Source organism: Homo sapiens, chromosome 21 (genome assembly GCF_000001405.40).
Source record: "Homo sapiens chromosome 21, GRCh38.p14 Primary Assembly".
NCBI lineage: Eukaryota > Metazoa > Chordata > Mammalia > Primates > Hominidae > Homo > Homo sapiens.
The window spans coordinates 23859244-23881677 of NC_000021.9; the positions used below are offsets into that span (position 1 = coordinate 23859244).

General features: G+C 37.2%; 1 long non-coding RNA gene across 2 annotated transcripts in view; it reads left to right on the forward strand.

Annotated features, from left to right (window-relative positions):
* Positions 1–17157, forward strand: part of LOC105372750 (uncharacterized) — a 63784-nt gene extending 46627 nt beyond the window's left edge. For both annotated transcript variants that reach the window (XR_937612.2, XR_937613.2), the window contains 2 exons: positions 1989–2096; positions 16996–17157. This is a non-coding gene — a long non-coding RNA (uncharacterized LOC105372750). The remainder of the gene's footprint in view (positions 1–1988; positions 2097–16995) is intronic.
* Positions 17158–22434: the final 5277 nt, after the last annotated feature.

The window sequence follows — 22434 nt, forward strand, 5'->3', positions numbered from 1 at the left end:
GTAAATAGTTTTGAGAACATATATATACACATATGGTTTATGTGTATATATATAATTTATATATAATTATAATTATAACCATACAATATTATATATAATTATAATATTTATGCATAAATATTATATAATTAATAATACATAATATATTATTATTTATATATTATGTATTATAATTATATATAAAAGTATGTATTATAATTATATAAAATTATATATTTATAATTATATAAAATTATATATTTATAACATTAAATACTTATGTATATATCAATAATATGTGATGAAATATTAATATATTGTGTATTAATATATTAGTATATAAATAATATATAATATATTGTTATCAATATATTAATATATAAATAATATATAATATATTGTTATCAATATATTAATATATAAATAATATATAATATATTGTTATCAATATATTAATATATAAATAATATATTGTTATCAATATATTAATATATAAATAATATATTGTTATCAATACATTAATATATGCTAATAATATAACAATATATTATCAATAATATATAAAATATAATAATTATATGTCTGATGATTGTATATATATTGTATATGTATACATACAAGCCATAACTGTTCTCGACTACTCATTGAAAGCTCATGCATAACTATTTTATATATACATAAATATAATTATATATATAATTGTCTAAGAAATGTGGAAAAAAATGAAAGAAAATAAGTCTTAGCCCAAATCTCAAGAATAATTTTAGAATTTTAGATGTTGTTTCTTGATACTATCAGAGCCAATGCTTGTTTTTTTTTTCGTATTAAACATATTGAAATGTTTTCCTTTACTATATAAAACTTAAATACATGGTTAATATAACCAACAAACCTACATAAGGTAACTTTCAAATGTCCCACCTGGCATACACTTAAGTAATAAAACTTTAAACAATTATCTAATTATAGAATCCAACTGATTTGTATATACTGCACATATACATTATGTTTTTTTGCATAGTTTTAAGATAAATGGAATTTTCCAGGTAGAGAAACTTGACTGGGTATCACCATACCTTCTCATGCCTGTCATTCCAGCACTTTGGGAGGCTGAGGCAGGAGGATTGCTTGAGGCCAGGAATCCAAGACCAATCTGAGCAACATACTGAGAGCGTGTCTCTACAGAAAACATAATAGTAAACAAAAGTTGTGTGGCAACTTGAGGAAAATTATTTAATTCAAAACTTCAATATGTGTAGTTCCATCAGTTTGGAAAATCATCCCACCAGTGGCAACACTGTTAGTGGCACTGAATCGCTAACACACAGCTCTATTGGTCTGGTTGATAGGTCTGCGTTCACTGTGATTCTACATAGAAGGGGAAAATCTGGCTTCCCCATTATTTATTTGCTGTGTGTAGACTTTTCCTAGCATTTGCATGTGTGTGTGTGTGTGTGTGTGTGTGTGTGTGTGTATTTTTAGACGGAGTCTCAGTCTGTAGCCCAGGCTGGAGTGCAGTGGGGCGATCTCAGCTCACTGCAACCTGTGCCTCCCAGGTTCAAGTGATTCTCCTGCCTCAGCCTCCCAACTAGCTGGTACTACAGGCGTGTGCCACCACGTTGAGCTAATTTTTTGTATTTTTAGTAGAGACAGAGTTTCACCGTGTTGGCCAGGATGGTCTCAATCTCCTGACCTCATGATCCACCTGCCTTGGCATGAGCCACCACTCCCGGGTACCTTTGCATATCAAAAGATACATTTCATTATAGACTATTTCTCTTTAATTCATTTCCTTTCTGCAGTACTACCCTTGTTTTGCAGGATGTCTAGTTTCCCCCAACCCACTCTCTCAGTGAATGCTGGTAGTCCGACACTATAATTCTTATAATACGTAAATGTACTCCCAACAATTTTCAAAAGCCTCTGCAGGGAGATATCCAACTACTAATTTAGAGAATGTATAGATCTTTTAAGGAGTATTTTTAAATGTAGATTTCATTATTACTCAGGCAGGGTGAAGCCAAGAGACCAGAAGATGATGGTCATTGAAAAGAGATTTTGTTACAGTTCAAGAGAAGCAAGCACAACATGCCATGCCTTCATCTTCTGCTATGATTGTAAGCTTCCTGAGGCCCTCACCAGAAGTGGATGATGGCTTTACCCTTCTTGTACAGTTTGCAGAATGTGAACAAAAGAAACTTCTTTTCTTCATAAATTACCCAGTCTCAGGTATTCCTTTAGAACAAGGCAAAACAGATTGGCCCGGCGTGGTGACTCACGCCTGTAATCCCAGCACTTTGGAAGGCCAAGGCGGGAGGATCACGAGGTCAGGAGATCAGGACCATCCTGGCTAACACAGTGAAACCCCATCTCTACTAAAAATACAAAAAATTAGCTGGATGTGGTGGCATGCGCCTGTAATCCCAGCACTGGGGAGGCTTAGGAGAATCACTTGAACCCGGGAGGCAGAGGTTGCAGTGAGCCAAGATCGTGCCACCGCACTCCAGCCTGGACAACAGAGTAAGATTCTGTCTCAAAAACAAAACAAAACAAAAAAAACAATGCAAAACAGACTAACACAGCATTAGAATAAAAAGACAGCATTAGAATAAAAAGACATTGTTAATACAAAGAGACGGCAAACAGAAGGCCGGAAATGTGGGACTAAAACCAGGAGGACTTGGTCTCCTGGAAGACAAAAGAGGAGATCTTTTCAAGGAATGAGAACCAACACTGTTAGGTGATTTTTAGGGTCAAATACGATAAAGGCTTGAGATGGTTAAACTAAACATAACAACGGGCAGATAATTTTAACCTGATATCAGTATGAGTTGAATTATGAAGAGGAAATCTGATTTCTGAGGTCAGAGAAAAGAGGAAATAGAAACAGTGGGCATGTGCTCTTTTACCCTGAGAATTCTACCTATGCCAGCGAGGGAGGAACTTGTTAGCCAGAACAAACTGCCATGTCCAGAAAAGATTTTTTTAAAATTTGTTCATTTTATTTTTAGTTCAGCTAGAAGGCAAAAATTAAGCATGTGTAAAAGCTTACAGGAAGGAAGACGTTTGTGGAGAGTGGTAGGTTAAATATACAGACAGGAAATAATCGGTTTTCTTCAGAAAATGTGGAAGGCAAGCAATGAAGGGCACACATTTTTTTTTAAGTGAGCTTTCTTCAGTTCCAGGGGAAAATGATTTTATTCTAACAGAAAACAAGAAAAAAACAGATCAGATGAAGGTTCATAAAAATTTGTAACTTTGAGGGCGGGAGACTGAGGGAGTGGTCTTCTGGCAGGTTTTATTTTATTCCTTTTTTCCCCTAAGAATTAGATAAACTCACCAGATAAGAATAAGGTAGGTGAAAAAAGGATCCTAAATTTAAGAAGAATTTAGGAAGTTAGAAATAGCTGTGTGGAGACTGAGAGAGACAGCCAATTAGAGAAATAAATCCCCAAAAGGGTGGAGAGCATCTAAAGAATGTAGTAGGTATATTTAAAATTTTATTACAAGCTTTTTCTGCTTCTTAAAGGATAAAAAAAACAAGTGTACTGAGAATATATCATTTCAAATGAAACAGCATATAAAAGATTTTCATAATAACTGTAAAAAAGATGATATAGTTTTACAGGATTAGGCATCAGTAATGAAGAAGAATATAGGCCAAATCTGAAAGTCATGTCCTCAGGATGAATCTTAAACACTTACAATGTATGTAACTCATTCACATCAAACCCAAGAAGTTAGAAACTGCTTTGAAACAGCACGTCATATAACTAGAATTATGGTTTTTCAATTACAGGGGTTGATTCTTATATTCAATTTTAGTTGTCATGGTGGATTGTTCTCATAGCATATGTAAAAAGGAAAAGAAAATGAATATCCACACCAAATTTGTAGCAGTTGAATTACAATAAGTTTGATGAATTCTGCACAATATTAACCAAAGAATTGTGTTATGTTTGCAAAAGGCTTACACATTTGCATAAACTGACAGGAACAAAGAGACTACCTCTTTATGCATATCCCTATTTTCCTTTACCGATGTTCACATTGAGCAAGGGAATGCAAGCCCAGGGCTCGAAGGAAGGAAGGGCATTATGATAGGTTTTTAAAATAACAACTGCCTCTTTCAGCAGTTATTTTTCTTTAAGGAGCCAAAAACTAAAATTTAAACCTTCATTCTGTCCCAAGCACAACTGAGGAACTTGCCATCACAAATTGAAATCAACAATCATTTAGACACCTGTTCAGTGCTGTGGAGCCACAAAGATGGCAAACCACAAAGAAGCAAATTATGAAATTCTGGAGACAGCAAAGTATATAGACATTATCCCTGAAGAATGCGGGGTTTGGGAGTTCTGACCTCCATGCAGTCAAAGATCCACGTATAACTTTGACTTCGCAAAAATTTAACTACTAATAACCTACTGTTGACCAGAAGCCTTAATGATAACATAAACAGTTGATTAACAAAATGTTTTGTATGTGTTATATAGTGTATTATTACAATAAAGTAAGCTAGAGAACTGAACATGTTATTAAGAAAATCATAAGGAAGAGGAAGTATATTTACTATTTATTATGTGGAAATGGATCATCATAAAAGGTCTTCATCCTGGTCATCTTAACATTGAGTAGAGTAAGGAGGAGGAAGAGAAGAGGCTGATCTTACTGGCTCAGGGGTGGCAGAGGTAGAAGAAAATCCACATATACGCTGACCTTCAGAGTTAAAACCCATATTGTTCAAGGGTCAACTGTATAACTGACAACTACAACCATAACTAAGAATTATAAGTTAGTGATTAAAAAGGTGAGCTTCAGAATTAGGTATAGCTAGTTGGTGTTACCCACTATAAACTGTGTGACAATGGGTAAGATACTTATTCATCCTAAATCTCAGGTTTGCTTGTCTGTAAAATGAGCAGGATAACATTCACTTCCATAAGATAGGGTACCAGTAAGTGAAGTAAGTATTAAAGTGCCTCTTATGATATCCTTCACATATTAGCCATTAACAAATAGAAACTGAAGCAATACATAAGAGTGTTGAAGACATTAATTCAGTCTAAATGCAGTGGGGTGCAGAAAGGAAGGGTGTTTCCTTTCCCAGATCCCAATGCTAGCTAAGGCTAAGTACAAAATCTGTATCATGGGCTAGGCATGGTGTGGCTCACGCCTGTAATACCAGCACTTTGGGAGGCCAAGGCGGGTGGATCACGAGGTCAGGAGATCGAAACCATCCTGGCTAACACGGTGAAAACCCATCTCTACTAAAAATACAAAAAATTAGCCAGGTGTGGTGGTGGGCGCCTGTAGCCCCAGACGCTTGGGAGGCTGAGGCAAGAGAATTGCTTGAACCCAGGAGGCAGAGGTTGCAGTGAGTGGAGATCGCACCACTGCACTCCAGCCTGGGTGACAGAACGAGACTCCGTCTCAAAAAAAAATAAAATAAATCTGAATTATGTCCAATCAAAATACACACACACACACACACACACACACACACACACACACACACACTCCCTCTCTCTCTCTCTCTCTCTCTTCCAAAAACTCAGTTTTAAAGTTGGTGTCGGCTTTACCACATTGAAAAATAAATTCCCTGATGCAGGTCACCTCCCCTGATAAAGGCTTTTTTTTCATTTTGGGAGCTACATATGTACAATTTTTCTATCAGAAAATCCCCCACCTTCAAACATCTAAATTACATCAGCTATAATCTGATCTCTCCTAATTTACTTTAACAGCAACAAAAACCATATTTCTGTCATCAGTGCTTATATCTCTGCCATGACAAATACCAGTAGAAAAAAATAATAGTCTCTTGGATTTAGCCTCAAACTTACAACACATCTCTTTGGGTTCATGACCTAATACAAAACTTGTGAATATAAATTTACTCACAAACACATCTATTACCTCAACAGTCTATCCCTTCCAAATGAACCTGTACAAGTTAAAAACACAAAATGGAAATATATACATATATATCTATCTATCTATATATCTATCTATCTATCTCTCTCTCTCTCTCTATATATATATATATATAGAACTCCAACTATTCCCTTTCTGCTGTGTACTGACAGTTTGTGTCTCATCAAAATTCAAATGTTGAAGCCCTGATTCCCAACATGATGGTATTAGAGAGTGGGGCCTGTGGGAAATACTTAAGTCATGAGAGTGGAACCCTATTGATGGGATCAGTTCCCCCTAACAAGAGATGCCAGAGAGCTTGTTTCCATGTTCTCTGCCCTCTGTCATATGAGGATACAATCAGAAGATTGCTATCTGCAAACTAGGAAGAGTGCTCTCCTTAGACATTTGATTTGCTGGCACCTTAATCTTAGCCTTTTCAGCCTCCAGACCTGTGAGAAACCACTGTTTGTGGTTTAAGCCATCCAGTCTAGGGCAACAGAGACCTCCTTCTATCCTAACTGAGCAATTAGACTTAATAATCTTGAAACTCACTCACTACGTGACTAATGTACCTTGTCTATTCAGTGTATTTCCCATTAGATTTGTTCATATCACTGTCCCCTCTTTAAGTATTATGAACCTAAGAAAAAAATATTTTTGTATGGAAATACAAACTGTGTGATTTATGAAATTATATTTTGACATTTTCCTTATTGTAATCATACAAAACAGTATATACCTAATGTGTGAACCGGCTGTAACTGGGTAGTTAAGCAGGTCACACATAAAAAATAGTAAAAATAGCTCCTAAATCCAAATTTTCAGAGAGAAGGGAGACCACATAATTGCATTCAAATGAAAGTTTAAATGGACATTTTAGTGTGTTGTTCATGAATTTTGGTTACAAGGAGCAATGTAGACACACATTGATTCTTTAAAAGATGGAACCATAGAGGATAAGAAAGAAGGCCGTGGAACACAATGGTAACCCACTCATTTCAAATAGGTGATGGAAAGATGAATTATTCATTTAATAGTGTTAGAAGAATTGGAAAGCCATCTGGAAGAAAATCATTTTGTGTTTTAATTTGCACCAAAATAATTTTAGATTGACAAGTTATCTATATTATATTTGCAAAAAAAAGGAGAAATCTTTAAAGTACAAGAACAAAGATTGAGGATTATTTATTAAAATGTCAGAGTAGGTAGCACTTCAAAAAGCAAAATTAAAAGCTGTAAAAAAAAAGACTACACTTAAATAATTTTATCACAAAGGCAAAAGACCAACAACAAATGGGGTAAAATATTTTTACCTAATATATCAAAAAGACTTGTAGTTTATTTAACACATAAAGAACACCTTCATACAAATAACGAAATCTTAATATATATACACAGACAGTTCATCAAAAATAAAATGCAAATTTTTAAAAAAATACGTATAATTTCACATATGTGTTTCAAATAAAATTGATTTTTACCTCGTACATTGCAAACATCAGAAATAGTTTGATAATTTTTGAGCAGTTGTGGAGAGTCGGGGCGTAGGTATGTAGATAGGGAAAATAGAAATTTCTGTAAGCTGCTGAAGATAATGTAAATTGGCTTGACCACTGTGAGAAGCAATTTGACAATATTTGCCTGGGAATTCAATGCAATGTTATACCCTCATCTATATTATAATATAATCTTACACCCTCATCTATATTTTGAAAAATGACATTCTGTTATTTTTGTAGTATCTCTCATGGCTGTTACTAGTGGGGATGAGATGTCACAGAGACTCTTTGCTTACATTTCTGACCCTATCATCTACACCTGCTCAGAAAACATTTGAAAATCCGCTGTCTTTGGAGTCAGAAAATATGTTTAATTTCTAGAACAAGTAAATAATACTCTCTTCACTTTATTTTTTTCATCTTAAAATTTAGAACATTACAATTTTTCACATTACTGCTGTATTAAGATAAAATATATAAATTGGTATGTAGTATTCTTCATATTTACCTAATAATTCATTTTTTATTCATTCATTCACCAAAGCATTTTCAACATGAAGATCCAGCTAATGCTCATTATCATTCGTCATGAAATAGAATAATCTCTACACTTGAAATAAAAGAATTCAATACAAAATCTTAAATATTACTTCTCAATTTCATAATGTATGACTGTACTAGAGTTCCTAAAGGTTGGCATTCAGGATTTCATGCAATGATAGCAATGTAGTAGAGTTTTTATTATAATCCCTGAGACGTTATTGGCATTTTGTAGGCAGGAGCCAGAGGTGCTGATTTTCATTCAGTGTGTGGGGTCAGAACCAACCAATGAAGATTTATTCCATTGAACGTGCTAATAGTACACATGTTGAAACATGCCTATAGACAGACCATTTCAACTGAAAAATGTAAAAGATATATATTATCCAGAGATGTTAAGGAATTTGTCCAGGTCACCTACTGAGTCAATTGCGTACTCCAAGATGAGAATCTGATGTTCTTGTCCAGCTCATGAATGTTCAAAAAAACTGTTTTATTAATCGTTTTCCTCCCTCCCTCCCTCCCTCTCTCCCTCCCTCCCTCCCTTCCTTCTTTCCTTCCTTCCTTCCTTCTTTCCTTCCTTCCTTCCTTCCTCTTTCCTTCTTTCCTTCCCTCTTTCCCTATCTCTCTGCTTTCCTGTCTCATTTTTAACTCCTCAATTTCTTATTTTCTTTCATTTTTTTCTTCCTTCTTCTCTCGAATTTCAAATTTATATCGTACAAAAACACAAAAACACTTTTCTTTCATTTAGCAAACATAAAAGATACCTTTCATTTATTTAGAAAGAAAGAAATGAGGAGCCAGTCCCGGTAGCTCATGCCAGTAATCCCAGCACTGTGGGAAGTCGAAGCAGACGGATCACGAGGTCAAGAGATGGAGAACATCCTGGCCAACATAGTGAAACCCTGTCTCTACTAAAAATACAAAAATTAGCAGGGCATGGTGGTGCGTGCCTGTAATCCCAGCTACTTGGGAGGCTGAGGCAGGAGAATCACTTGAACCCAGGAGGCGCAGGTTGCAGTGAGCCAAGATCATGCCATTGCACTCCAACCTGGTGACAGAGCTGGACTCTGTCTTGAAAAAAAAAAATATATATATATATAGAAACAAAGGAATGAGTTGCACACAGTGGCTCATGCCTGTAATTCCAGCACTTTGGGAGGCTGAGGCGGGTGGATCACTTGACGTCAGGAGTTCTAGACCAGCCTGGCCAACATAGTGAAACCCCGTCTCTACTAAAAATACAAAAATTAGCCAGGAGTGGTGGCACATGCCTGTAGTCCCAGCTACTCAGGAGGCCGAGGCAGGAGAATTGCTTGAACCTGGGAGGCGGAGGTTGCAGTGAGCTGAGATTGTACTACTACACTCTAGCCTGGTCCACAGAGCAAGACTCCATCTCAAAAGAAAAAAAAAAAAGAAATGAAAGGTTTCTCTTATGTTTGCTAAATGTAATTTCTGTTACTCTCACTACAATTGACTGCCATACAAACCAATTGTCTTAGTATCAAAAGACAGACAATTGGTTTGTATGGTAGTCAACTGCAGTGATAGTAACAGAAATGAAAGAAATTGCTCTGAGAGGCTGATTGTAGTCCTGTACTTCACCTTTTCCAATCTTCTGCTTCCTCACAGGTTTATCTCTCCATCCTCCTAAATTCAGTTGCTTATTCCCCAGAATACATGATAGGACATCTGTGGTGGCTTCTTCTGAGATTTATTTAGCCAGACTTTCATTAAAATAGCAACTGAATTGACTCAATAAAATGTTGCTTATCTTAATAAAGCTCTTTAGAGCTTTGCAAATTTGCATTTAATACTCTTTAGTGTCATTATGGCATTAATAATCTGTGCCCAAAGAGCAATAAAAAAAAACTTTATACTTTGTATTTAATAGAGGTAGCTTCATAACCCTTCATTTTCACGCAACTTGGGCTTTTAAATTACCAGACAGAAAAAGGCAGAATATTCATATGCAAAATGTGGTCAAGTCTCAACGATAATACTACTTAGGCTGAATGAATCTGAGGCTTCTAGGATATCAGCCTCCTTATATTACCCAATTGAAGAAAATAATCCATATCCATTTTCGCAAGCTTGTAACATGCACATCAACATCTCTTTAAGAAGAAATTGCTTTAGAGTCTCTTGAAATATTCTCATTGCTCTTAAGAATGAGATAGGAAGAGAGCAAAGAGAAGTAGGGATGAAGCTGTAAGTAAATGAGATGATATATTGGCTGATGCTTTAAGATAAGTCTTTCAAACCCATATGCTTAAATAAATTATTAAATGGAATAAGAAAATGTTATGACTGACTTTGGCACCTTGCTCCCATCTCTTTACATCTAGTTTCTCCTGGCAGATTCTATTGGCATTTGTAGCATAAGTGAAAATGAAAGAAATATTGAGAAATATTTCAAATCTAGATTTCAAATAGCCACAGTTTGGTGACAAAACTCTCTCTTTGACCCAGCTGTAGCCAGGCTCCTCTAAGCACACTTACAGAGTAGGCCTTGACCTTAGCCGCCTATCCTTGTCTGATATGCATAGTCCAGTCTTAGCAAGGTTCTCCTTAGTTTAGAAAGAATCCCTGACCTCTGATACCGGATGACTCTCCATATCTGATCAGGTTTCTCATCTGCCATCTTTGTTGTCTATGTCTTTGGCCTGCCCTTCAGCAAGAATCCAATTAAGTTGGTTTAGCAAGAATTCCTCTATCTTTGATGCCTCCTCTTAGCAACTTTCCATCCACTGACCTTCTCACTCTCCTCTTTAGCTATAAATATCCAGCTATCTTTACTACAGTCAAAGTTGACCCCCATTTCTTTCCCCGATAGCAGTAGTCTTGAATAAACCCTTCTTTACTGTTTTAATTACTGTCTGAATAATTTTTGGCTTCCCCATTTCCAGAAGCAACTGTGTTAAGGTAAATATGTAGTTATTTAGATGTACTGAGCAGACCAATATGGTGGCCAAGAACGCTGATGCAGGATGTCTTATATATGCACAGTCTTAAAGTTGTTTTACAGTGTAGCCAAAAAACAATTCCAGGAAATATTTGTTACTTTCCTGGGCTGTAGAATACAGTATAGTGGGAAAGTCCTTTACATCGCCTAGAGTTTAAAGTCCATTTAGATGAAAATCAAGGTGTGTGTTTAGAAACAGGAGGGAATGCTTAGAAAGCTCCAGAAATGACACAACCCCCAGACTCTGCATTTGTTAAGTGTGTCATGTATGTTGCAACACAGGTTTTCCCTGGACTGCACTTGAAACAGCCACCATCTCAGGTTTGCTATGAGATCAAGGTGGATTTTTCCAAATGAAAGATGTCTAATGAAAATGGAGATAAACCCTTGTAGCCACACTTCTTAACACCTACAGAATACCATCTCCAGCAAATCAACCAGAAGCATCTGCCAGTAAAACAACAGAGACGTGAGAAAAACAAAAAAAGACTCAAAAAACAAATTTGAAGGCAAATACCTCAAATTTGGACCAGGACAATAAAAGAACATGCTTTTTACATGCAAAAAAAATAAATAAAAATAAGGCCAATGTACATGGAGATGTGCACAGCAAGGGTGTGAGCTGAAGGAAAACAATCTTGACATTAAGCAGGAGTGTGAGTGAAGAACACGTCTATGGACTGACTATAAGGCAGCAAAGGCTGAAACAGGTTCAAGTTCCCACTGTGGGAGAGCTCCCTGACAGAGGAAAGGCAGTTTCTGGTGTTCCACGGAAGAAGGAAGAAAACAAAACCCTCGTTGAAGCAGGATGGCAGGAGCCAGTGACGAAAATCAGAATAACTTGCAGCAATATTTTTTTTCTTTTTCCTTTTTTAAAATAGCCGCTCTAAAGCAACTTTTCTGACAAGCAGTGTACGGAAAGGCATAGAAGAGGATTAAATATTTTCTAGACCAGTATCAATTCAGTTAGATACAAGTTGAGAAAAATATGATGCTTTGACCCACATGGTAATGTTTATTTTGCACTATTAATTTTTGCACTATTAAAGCATTTACTTATATTGTAATACTTGGCGACAAAACTCTCTCTTTGACCCAGCTGTAGCCAGGCTCCTCTAAGCACACTTACAGAGTAGGCCTTGACCTTAGCCGCCCATCCTTGCCTGATGTGCATAGTCCAGTCTTAGCAAGAGTTCTCCTTAGTTTAGAAAGAATCCCTGACCTCTGATACCGGATGACTCTCCATATCTGATCAGGTTTCTCATCTCCCATCTTTGTTTTCTGTGTCTTTGGCCTGCCCTTCAGCAAGAATCCAATTAAGTTGGTTTAGCAAGAATTCCTCTATCTTTGATGCCTCCTCTTAGCAACTTTCCAACCACCGACCTTCTCACTCTCCTCTTTAGCTATAAGTCTCCAGCTATCTTTGCTACAGTCAAAGTTGACCCCCATTTCTTTCCCCGATAGCAGTAGTCTTGAATAAACCCTTCTTTACTGTTTTAATTACTGTCTGAATAAATTTTGTCTTTAACATTGACCCTATTTATATTTCTAGTGATGTGTTGAAAAAGGACCTCAAAATGCCTGCCTGGCAGGATTTCAGAATTGTCATTTGCAAATGTGCAAATCCCATTTTCCGCATTCTTATTTGTTTTTTGTTGTTGTTTGTTTGTTTTGTTTTGAGACAGAGTCTCACCCTGTCACCCAGCAGGAGTGCAATGGCACAATTTCTGCTCACTGCAACCTCTGCCTCCTGGGTTCAAGGGATTCTCCTGCCTCAGCTTCAACAGTAGCTGGGATTAGAGGCATGCGCCACCACACCCAACTAATTTTTTGTATCTTTAGTAGAGACGGGATTTCACCATGTTGACCAGGCTGGTGTTGAACTCCTGACCTCGTGATCCGACCACTTTAGCCTCCAAAGAGCCGAGATTACAGGCGCGAACCACCGCGCCTGGCCCCATTTTCCTCATTCTTAATGAGACTGTTTATTGCAGTTGTGATGACTCTTTTCTATATGTGTATACTAGGCATGTGAGGGTAGAAGGTGGTGAGGGGGATATGGCTAGAGAGAAAATACAACCTTTTTATTTGTTGGCTCCACAGAATAAAATAAGTTGTGTGGAGACTACCATAATACCCTAGATTTAGACCCTAGTGCTGTAACTGAATTGGGTTTTTCTTGGGGGGTGAAGGGAGGTGAATAGAAAGGAATTTGCTTTTCACATGTAAAGGAGACTACATTGAACATTTGAGACCAGAAGACTAGACTTTTGGTAGTCTACACAGATTGCATTTTGGGTGTAAATTCCGAATTCCCATTGCTGGGGAATAATTGTACTTTTCTCCTTGCTGGCCCCAGTTCTGGCTGTATGTCTTGTTTTGCCTGGGGAATGGTGAGCAAAAATGATATGTACCACCTCTGCCAGATGGTGAAGAGCCAGTATGTAGCTTGCCATGACTTTCCTTCGCTGGCTATAGTGTATGGAAGGAGGTATATTGATGGAGCTCAGGGCACACTGCTCCAAATTACAGCACCTTGGCATTTAAGAAAACAGCAGAAGCAGGAAGGTTACTTTCACTTTTCTTCCCTGAAGGAGGGCATAAGCTTAGGAAAGATTTTCTGACATTCCCCTAAAGAGTGCCATGAGACCCTTATGCCAAAGGGCTTTCCCTATACCGGGAGGAAAGGAACATCCTTATCTATGAAGTCACAGGATCAAAGAGAAGAATCTAAACAAACAGGCCACTTCATAAACCTAGCATAAAAATAAGCAAATTTAACTTTTTCTTCTGGTCTTCATTTCCTTAGGGAGGCTTCCATGTCATACAAAACTTATATTAAATAAATGTATATGCTTGTATCCTGTCAATCTTGTCTTTTGCTGAAGAAGTCTCGGCCATGAAACTAGCATGAATGAGAAAAATATATTTTTCTTCCCCTAGATTATCAAAGTTAGATGTCTATCAATAATATCTCTGAACAACAATGATAAGCAGAGGGCCTTGCTGGACCTAGTTAAACATGCTTCACTTGCAAAGAATAAACCTTGTCTTATAAACCAATTGGATTTGGGGGTTGTTTGTAATGCAACAAAATCTCTTACATCCTATATGATCCAGAAAGAAAATATAGATAATTCACCATCAAATAGAATGCCTTAGAGGTTTGAGAAAAGATAATCAGAGTATAAAATGACAGTAAATATAAAATAAATGTACATAGCCTACTCCTTAATCTTTTTGTTCAATATCCAAACCTTTCCTCATAATATTGGTGTGTGGATAAATTTAAAAAAGAATACCATTCAAAACTGACAGCTTTTCAGGATCATGCTATCCTAGCATCAGGTCGTCTGGACTTTAGAGACCAAAATATTAATAATGGAATTCTGGATATCAGATAATTCTAATCAGTGAATTAGTGATGAAGACAGTGAATTAATCACGAAAAATATTCAATCAATGTCATTAGAGTTTAGGTTGAGAGGTAAAAAGTACTTAAAAGAGAATGCCAGAGTTGAAATGGAGCAAGTTAATTAATAAATAATAATGATACATCAATAAATAGGAATCCCCAATGCCAATCTTTCTCATGGTAAGAATGGTCAAGATCCATGGGTCTATAATATGTGTGGCCAGAACATCATGGAGAGTTCTTGCTGAAGGTTGTGCAAAAGATTATTGGGCCTTATGTGGAGGTCTCCTATTAATAATTTTAGGAAATGTCACAAGTACTGGAAGACAACATCCAAATATTCATTACATTGAGCTTAAGAACTCTCACTTTTTTTTTTTTTTTTTTTTTTTTTTTGAGATAGAGTCTCACTCTGTCTCCAAGGCTGGGGTGCAGTGGCGCGATCTCAGCTCAGTGCAACCTCCGCCTCCCGGGTTCAAGTGATTCCCCTGCCTCAGCCTCCCAAGTAGCTGGGACTACAGGCGCACACCAGCACACCTGGCACCTGGCTAATTTTTGGTATTTTAGTAGAGATGGGGTTTCACCATGTTGGCCAGGATGGTCTAGATCTCCTGACTTTGTGATCTGCCCACCTTGGCCTCCCAAAGTGCTGGGATTTACAGGCATGAGCCACCGCACCTGGCCAAGAACTCTCACTTTTACATAACAGAAAGTTTTACTCTCTGCATCCAAGGGAGGACAGTTATCTGCTCTTGAGGCCGAGAGAGTAAAGAAAAGAAAGTAACATGAGCAAGTCTAACTCTTCATGCAATTGAGCATAGCAAAAATAACATGTTTGGGTGCTTAAAAGCCCTGATTTTGAATTCATGCTCCAAAACTGTCAACAAATATGCTGAGCTTTACAAAAAAAAAAAAAAAAAAGCTATTCAAGATCCCTTCTTTGAAAATTTAGAAATGCTTTATGCTTCTTTTGTAACTAGTTAAGACACGCTTGCGTATTATTTTGTTATAGTTTCTATTTTCTGAGATTACATTTAAAAAAATAGTGTGAAGGAAGGGTGTGCATCCTTGATAGAACAGTAGATGTAAAGATGCATTCAATTCCTGAGTAGCTATGGAAAAAAACCCAGGCATGTACTTGTCAAGGCAAGAGTTCTAAAGTATTTTGTTTTATTTACCCAATCTCTTAAAACTAAGAAGTAATTGTCTTTTAGGAAATACTTTTATTCTTCAATTAAATAACAATAATAGCTGTATGGAGACAGAAGCAACATTTCGTCATTGAGATTAAGAGTTGCATATAGGGTATTTAGTTTGTTTCCACACAATTCAAGTGAAGTCTGTGAATATGTCTTGGTGTAGGCAAAATGATTTTTCTGTTGAAATAAAGGCTTTTCTTCTCTGATGAACATAGATTTGTGCAGAGCCAGGTACCTGCAGATTCCCAGTTACATAATGAAAATGTGAGTGAAAGGCAGGCTGGTGTTCTGGCTTTTGTTTCATTCCCTGAACTAAATATATCTCTGAAATTATCAACATCTATTTGTACTTATATAATAAAAAATAAAAATTATGCTCTTCTCACCTTCTCAGAAACTAGAGTGATTGTAATTCATAGTACATATAAATGCATAGTACTGTGTACACATGTAATATATATAAAAAGCTGAAACGTACAAAAGATCTTCATCTGTCTCGCTTATACTCACCTGAAATTGAGCTAAAATTAAGGCAAAAGATTGATACAAATATCTATTCACAAAGGCTTGAGTTTTTATAAAAGTTTCAATTCCACTCACTGAAATAGTTTATCTATATGTACACTGGCCAAATCATAAAATCTTATTCCAGAAGCATAATGAGCAAAACCTGAAGATCAAAAATGGATACAGATAATTCTCAAAGAAAGCCAGCAGAGAATATTCATTCTCAGTAGTCTCCACTGAGGCTAGTGTGAACAGAACAACTGTGGAATTAACACTAATACAAATGGAATCAGTCTATTTATAGAGACTGATAAAAACTTCAGCCTAATTAAATTTAAAGGAGTTTAATTGAGTAATGAGCGATTCACAAATCAGGCAGACCCAGAATCGCAGCAGTTTACAGAGACTCCAGCACAGCCATGTGGTGGAAGATCTATAGACAAAAGCGGAAAATGACATACAGAAATCAGAAGTGAAGTTCAGAAACAGCTGGATTGGTTACACCTGGCGTTTGCCTTATTTGAGCAGTTTGGACACTCAGCAGTGTATGAGCGGTTGAAGTACGGCCACCGGGATTGGCCAAGACTCAGCTATCGTTACAGGTGCATACTCCTAACTTACATTTTCAATTCTGTCTACCAATTAAGCTAGGTCGCAGTTCGTCCACAAGGACTCAAATATGGAAGTACAGAGTCCTTCTCGGGCCATATTTAGTTTGCTTTAACAAGACTATTTATAGAGCACTATATAACACGTCCAGCAATCAATAGACTGTTTGGTTTTATTTCTATAGAATGTTTTATTGCCTGAATTATTCCCCCCACCACAACCTGGAACTCCTATGCTGAAGTCTTAATTCCCGGTAACCCAGAGTGTGCTTGTATTTGGAGATGGGATCTTTAAAGTGGTAAGTGAGGGAAAATGAAGTCATATGTGTGTGGGCTAATTCAAATGTGACCCTTGTCCTTTTAGGAACAAGAGATTAGGACGCAGACAACACAGACTTAAGAGGTGATCATGTGAGGATACAGCAATAAGATGACCATCTATAAGCCAAAGATAGGCCTCAGAATGAAATCAACCCTGTTGACACCTGAATCTCCAGAACTGTGAGAAATAAATTTTCATGGCCGTGTGCGGTGGCTCCTGCCTGTAATCCCAGCACTTTGGGAGGCCAAGGCGGGTGGATTACTTGAGGTCAGGAGTTTGAGACCAGCCTGGTCAACATGGTGAAACCCTGTCTCTACTAAAACTACAAAAGTAACCAGGCATGGTGGCTCACGCCTGTAGTTCCAGCTCTTTGGGTGGCAGAGGCAGGAGAATCGCTTGAACCCAGGAGGCGAAGGTTGCAGTGAGCCAAGATTGCACCATTGCACCCCAGTCTGGGGGACAGAGCAAGACTCTGTCAAATGAAAGGAAACGAAAGGAAAGGAGAGGAGGGGAGAGGAGAGGAGAGGGGAGGGGAGGGGAGGGGAGGGGAGGGGAAAGGAAAGTTGTTTAAACCACTGGTCTGAGGTCCTTTGTTATGGAGTTGCTAACCCTCTCACACAAAAGGGAGTTTCTTATCTTTTCTCAACTTTCACAGTAAAATCTTCATATCCACCATTCCTGGGAACACTTGAATAACAATGTTTGAATGAGGTGAAGTATTTGTATTGATTTTGGTATGTTTTTTGTTTATATCTAATATATATGGCATTTTAGAAAACATTTCTTAAAGTTAAGTATTTCAATAATGAAGACATTTCAGTATAACTTGTTGAATGTTGTGACAAGTCAGAACGTCACTTGGTTAACAGCTGTGGTAGATTGCAAAGTCAGGCATAGTCTTGCATCCCTTCTTGAATTCACTCTGTGTTTCCTTCCACTAAGAGATGGAATCTGTACTTCACATTTGCATCTGGGCAGGTCTGTGACTTGCCTTGTCAGAAAAAGTACAGCAGAGATAAGAGTGTGTCGGTTCCCAACATAAACTTTCAGAAGCCCTCTGCACTTCTCTCTTTGGCATGAAAGTTGTCCTCTCCATGAGCGAAAACCTGGATGATGAGACATGTGGCTTAGTCATCCTCTTTACATGAGCCAACCAACTGCCAAGTGCCACCGACCTGAATTAAGCTATGTTGACTTTCCAGTTCCCTCCCCATCCATGAACTGAATGCAGACAAAAATGAGAAAGCCCAGCTAAGATTGCACAAACCTCATCTAGCTCAGAAGAAATATCCAGCAAGCCTGTGGACTTCTGAGCATTAATAAATGACTTTTGGCCAGGCACGGTGGCTCATGCCTATAATCCTAGCACTTTGGGAGGATGAGGAGGGTAGATCACCTGAGGTTGGGAGTTTGAAACCAGCCTGACCAACCTGGAGAAACCTCGTCTCTACTAAAAATACAAAATTAGCCATGTATGGTGGCACACGCCTGTAATTCCAGCTACTTGGGAGGCTGAGGCAGGAGAATCACTTGAACTTGGGATGTGGAGGTTGCAGTGAGCCAAGATCGCGCCATTGCACTCCAGCCTGGGTGACAAGAGTGAAACTTCGTCTCAAAAAATAAATAAATAAAAAATAAATATAATAAATAAAGAAATAAATAAATGACTGTTATCTAGCCACTGAGTCCTAGGGTATTTTGTTACATGGTATAGGTAGCTATTACTGGAGCCAGTTATGCTTTTTATCTGGCATTTCTTTTGCTTTGTTACACTTTTGGGTAGATTTTTATTGTCATCTACTTAAGCTCCTTTATTTTAATGTAATCTAAAAGTCATTATATCCACTTATCTAAAGTTATTTCTATAGCATGACTTAGAATATGTTACTTTAAGTGTATACTAATCCCTTGTTAAAGATGACAGAAATTCCACTCCATCAACGGACCTTTTCTATGTAATCAATTAATCTCCTTTAGCTAAAAGTACACATAGGCACACACATACACACATATCAAAAATAGAAGTTAAATTATTTATTATTTAGCAATATTTAGAAAATGAACTACTGAAATCAATGTTTGAATGATGCTGGGTTGGGTTATAGATCTTTTTCTTTTTTTTTTTTTTTGAGACGGAGTCTTGTTCTGTCTGTTGCCCAGGCTGGAGTGCAGTGGCACAATCTTGGCTCACTGCAACCTCCTCCTCCCGGGTTCAAGCAATTCTCCTGCCTCAGCCTCCCGAGCAGCTGGGACTATAGGTGCACGCCACCATGCCCAGCTAATTTTTGTATTTTTAGTAGAGATGGGGTTTCATCACATTGGACAGGCTGGTCTCGAACTCCTGACCTTGTGATCCAGCCGCCACAGCCTCCCAAAGTGCTGGGATTACAGGCGTGAGCCACGGTGCCTGGCCGGGTTATAGATCTTTATGGGTTATTTTTTTCACTACTAGTTTAAAACCAAGAATCTCTTTAATCATGTTACTATGCACTGTAATTCCTCCCAGAGTTTATTATGCATACTTGAAGCTCAACCAATGTTTGCTTCCTGGATGAATTAATTTGAAAGGAAATGTGAAAAGTACTCTGATTTCTCATTTAGTTTTATCCTCCACGTAAATCATCAGGACTATGAATGCAGTTTGAATTTAATCATGAATCTTCCTTGAATGTATAAATACATGAAAGCTGATGACATGCCCAAGAAACAAGCAGATAAGAACTATGGACCCTTATTTATAAATGATCTTTCTAATGTAGAAGATAGTGGAGGTATCACCCTTCCCAAAGCTCACTACTACTTTGGGTTTGCTTGAAACACAAAGCTTATCAATGGTCAACTAGTCAGGTCCCCAGTCAATATGATCCAGCCTCCCATTAATAAGCTATTTGGATCCCTAAGGTTGAGGTTGGTGTGGGTTCCTCTGTCGTAGATTTGATATACTTTATTTCTGTAGAGCTGTGGAAGTACAAGCCTGGAAATTTCTAATACTGTCTTATTACTATCTCCATGCAACTTAACATTTAGATTTATCCCCCCTTAGAACTTTTCTGCACTCATCCTCCAGTTCATCACTACATGCACTTCCTTAGCTGTGCCCTGACACTGCCTAGTATTTGAAGCTGTCTCCACTGTTACACTCAATATGTTCTTTTCAATTATTAGTCACTGGCTGTATTTGCTAGGGCTGCTCTAAGCACGTACCACAGAGTTCGTTGCTTTAAAAACAGCAATTTATTGAAGCTAGAACTCCAAAATCAAGGTGTTGGCAGGGTTTGTCCCTTCTATGGCCTGCAATGGGAGGGTCAGCCCCAAACTTTGTTCCTTCATTTGTGGATGGTCATCTTAACATTTATTTTGCACTAACAATCTTTGCACTATTAAAACATTTACTTATATTGTACTATTTACTTAGTGACAAAGGCTCCCTCTCTTTAACCAAACATTAGCCATGCTCCTCTCTATGTTATATATTAGCCACATCTTCTCTCTATGTCTCTCTGTGGTCATCTTCTCTCTATGTCTTTACATCATCTCCCTATGTGTGGTTTGATATCTATATTCCCCCTTTTTATAAGGACACCAGTCATGTTAGATTAGGGTCCACATTAACGACCTCACTTTAATTCGATTATCTCGGTGTCTTTACAAGACACTGTCTCCACATAAGGTCATACTCTGAGGTATTGAGGGTTAGGACTTCAACATATGATTTTTAGGAGGGTAAAATTCAGCCCATAACACCGATTATAATTTTAAATTGATGGTACTGATTACATGAACTTGATTTTTTTGTATTATTATTACTGAGATTGAAAAACAAAATAAATGCTAAATAGAAGCCCAATATAATCTAAGGATTCAAAGTGAAAAAATATCAGATATGCTTTTCTCCCACTCTCCTCTACTTTGCCATTTTGGCATACAAAACAGCTCTCTTAATTCGGTTTTGTTTGGTTTTCATGGTTGAAATGCTAAGATCAGAGGGTTAAGAAAGTTAAAATACAAGAAGGTATATAAGTAGAATATCTAAGATCAAGGAAATAAGCAATATATCCTTGAATTGATTGTGATGAATTTTTAAGATTAGAGTTGTTTAAATTTACAGAAAAGTTGCAAGGATACTGTGGAGAGTTTTACCATACACCTCACCCAGAGTCTCATATTGTTAAAATCTTACATGAATTATTACAGAGCATTTGTCATGACTAAAAACTCAACATTAGTACGATAATATCAATGTAGTCTACACTTACTTTGGATTTGACCATTTTACTAGTTTTCCCTTAATGACTGTTTTCTATTCCAGGGTACTCTCAGGAAAACCCATCATCCTTAGATTTCATATATTTGTATTTTCTTCTGGTCTGTAACCATTTCTCAGACTTTCTTGACTTTTACAGTTTTGAGGTTCCTGGTCAGATATTTTGTAGAGCAATCCTCAATGTGGGTTCTTTCCATGTTTCTCTCCTGTTCAGACTGCTGTTATGGGTTTGGGGGACCAATGCCACAGAGGTGACGTGCCCTTCTTGTCACATCCAATCAGGCGTGCTTGCTATCACTATGACTTATGACTGATGGTGTTAGTCTTTATTACTTGGCAAAGGTCGTGACTGATTTAAAAGACTTGCTAATACCTGCTTGGGAAACATTTTATCTGAGGAAATAGGCAAAGTTGTTCTACCAATTATTTAGGTATTTTTAAGCCAACTTTGGTTTTAAATAACCTATTAGGTCTTCAGGTTTAGCTATTTTTAATACCTTAAAATTATTAAGATTTTTATATTATGTTTGTTCTTACAATAAAGGTTGTATTGGGGGTAGGAGATCATGTGAATAATTCTTCAGCATTAACTATTGAATATTATGTTGTTTCCATGGATAAAGTTTTACATATAAATGTCTAATATAAGGTATTAGCAATGTTAGTTGCATCTATCTTAGTAATGTTATGTTTTATTTATTTTAATGAATAAACTTGCTATATACCATTAGTAGGCTTTCATTTCAGAGAGGCAGTAGTGTATAAGAGGTTTAAATGTCAGAATTTAAATCTAATGTACTTAAATCCAATCCTTACTATCTATGACTTACTAACTATGAGATCTTGGGCAGGTCCGTTAATTTATCTGAGTGTATTAGTCACGGTTCTCTATAGAAACAGAACCAATAGTATATAAAAATATAGATTGATTGATAGAGATACGTAAGAGAGAATTTATTACGGGAATTGGCTCACATGCATATGGAGGCTGAGAAGTCCCATAAGCTGCTTCTGCAAGCTGAAAAACCGGAAAAGCCGGTGGTGTAATTTAAGTCCAAATCTGAAGGCCTTAGAACCAGGGGAGCTGATGATGTAACATCCAGTACAAGGCCAAAGGCCTAAAAACCCGGGGGCTGCTGGTGTAAATCCTAGATTGCAGAGGTCCAAGAACCAGTGGCTCCAATGCCCAATGGTGGGAAATGTATGTCCCATTTTCA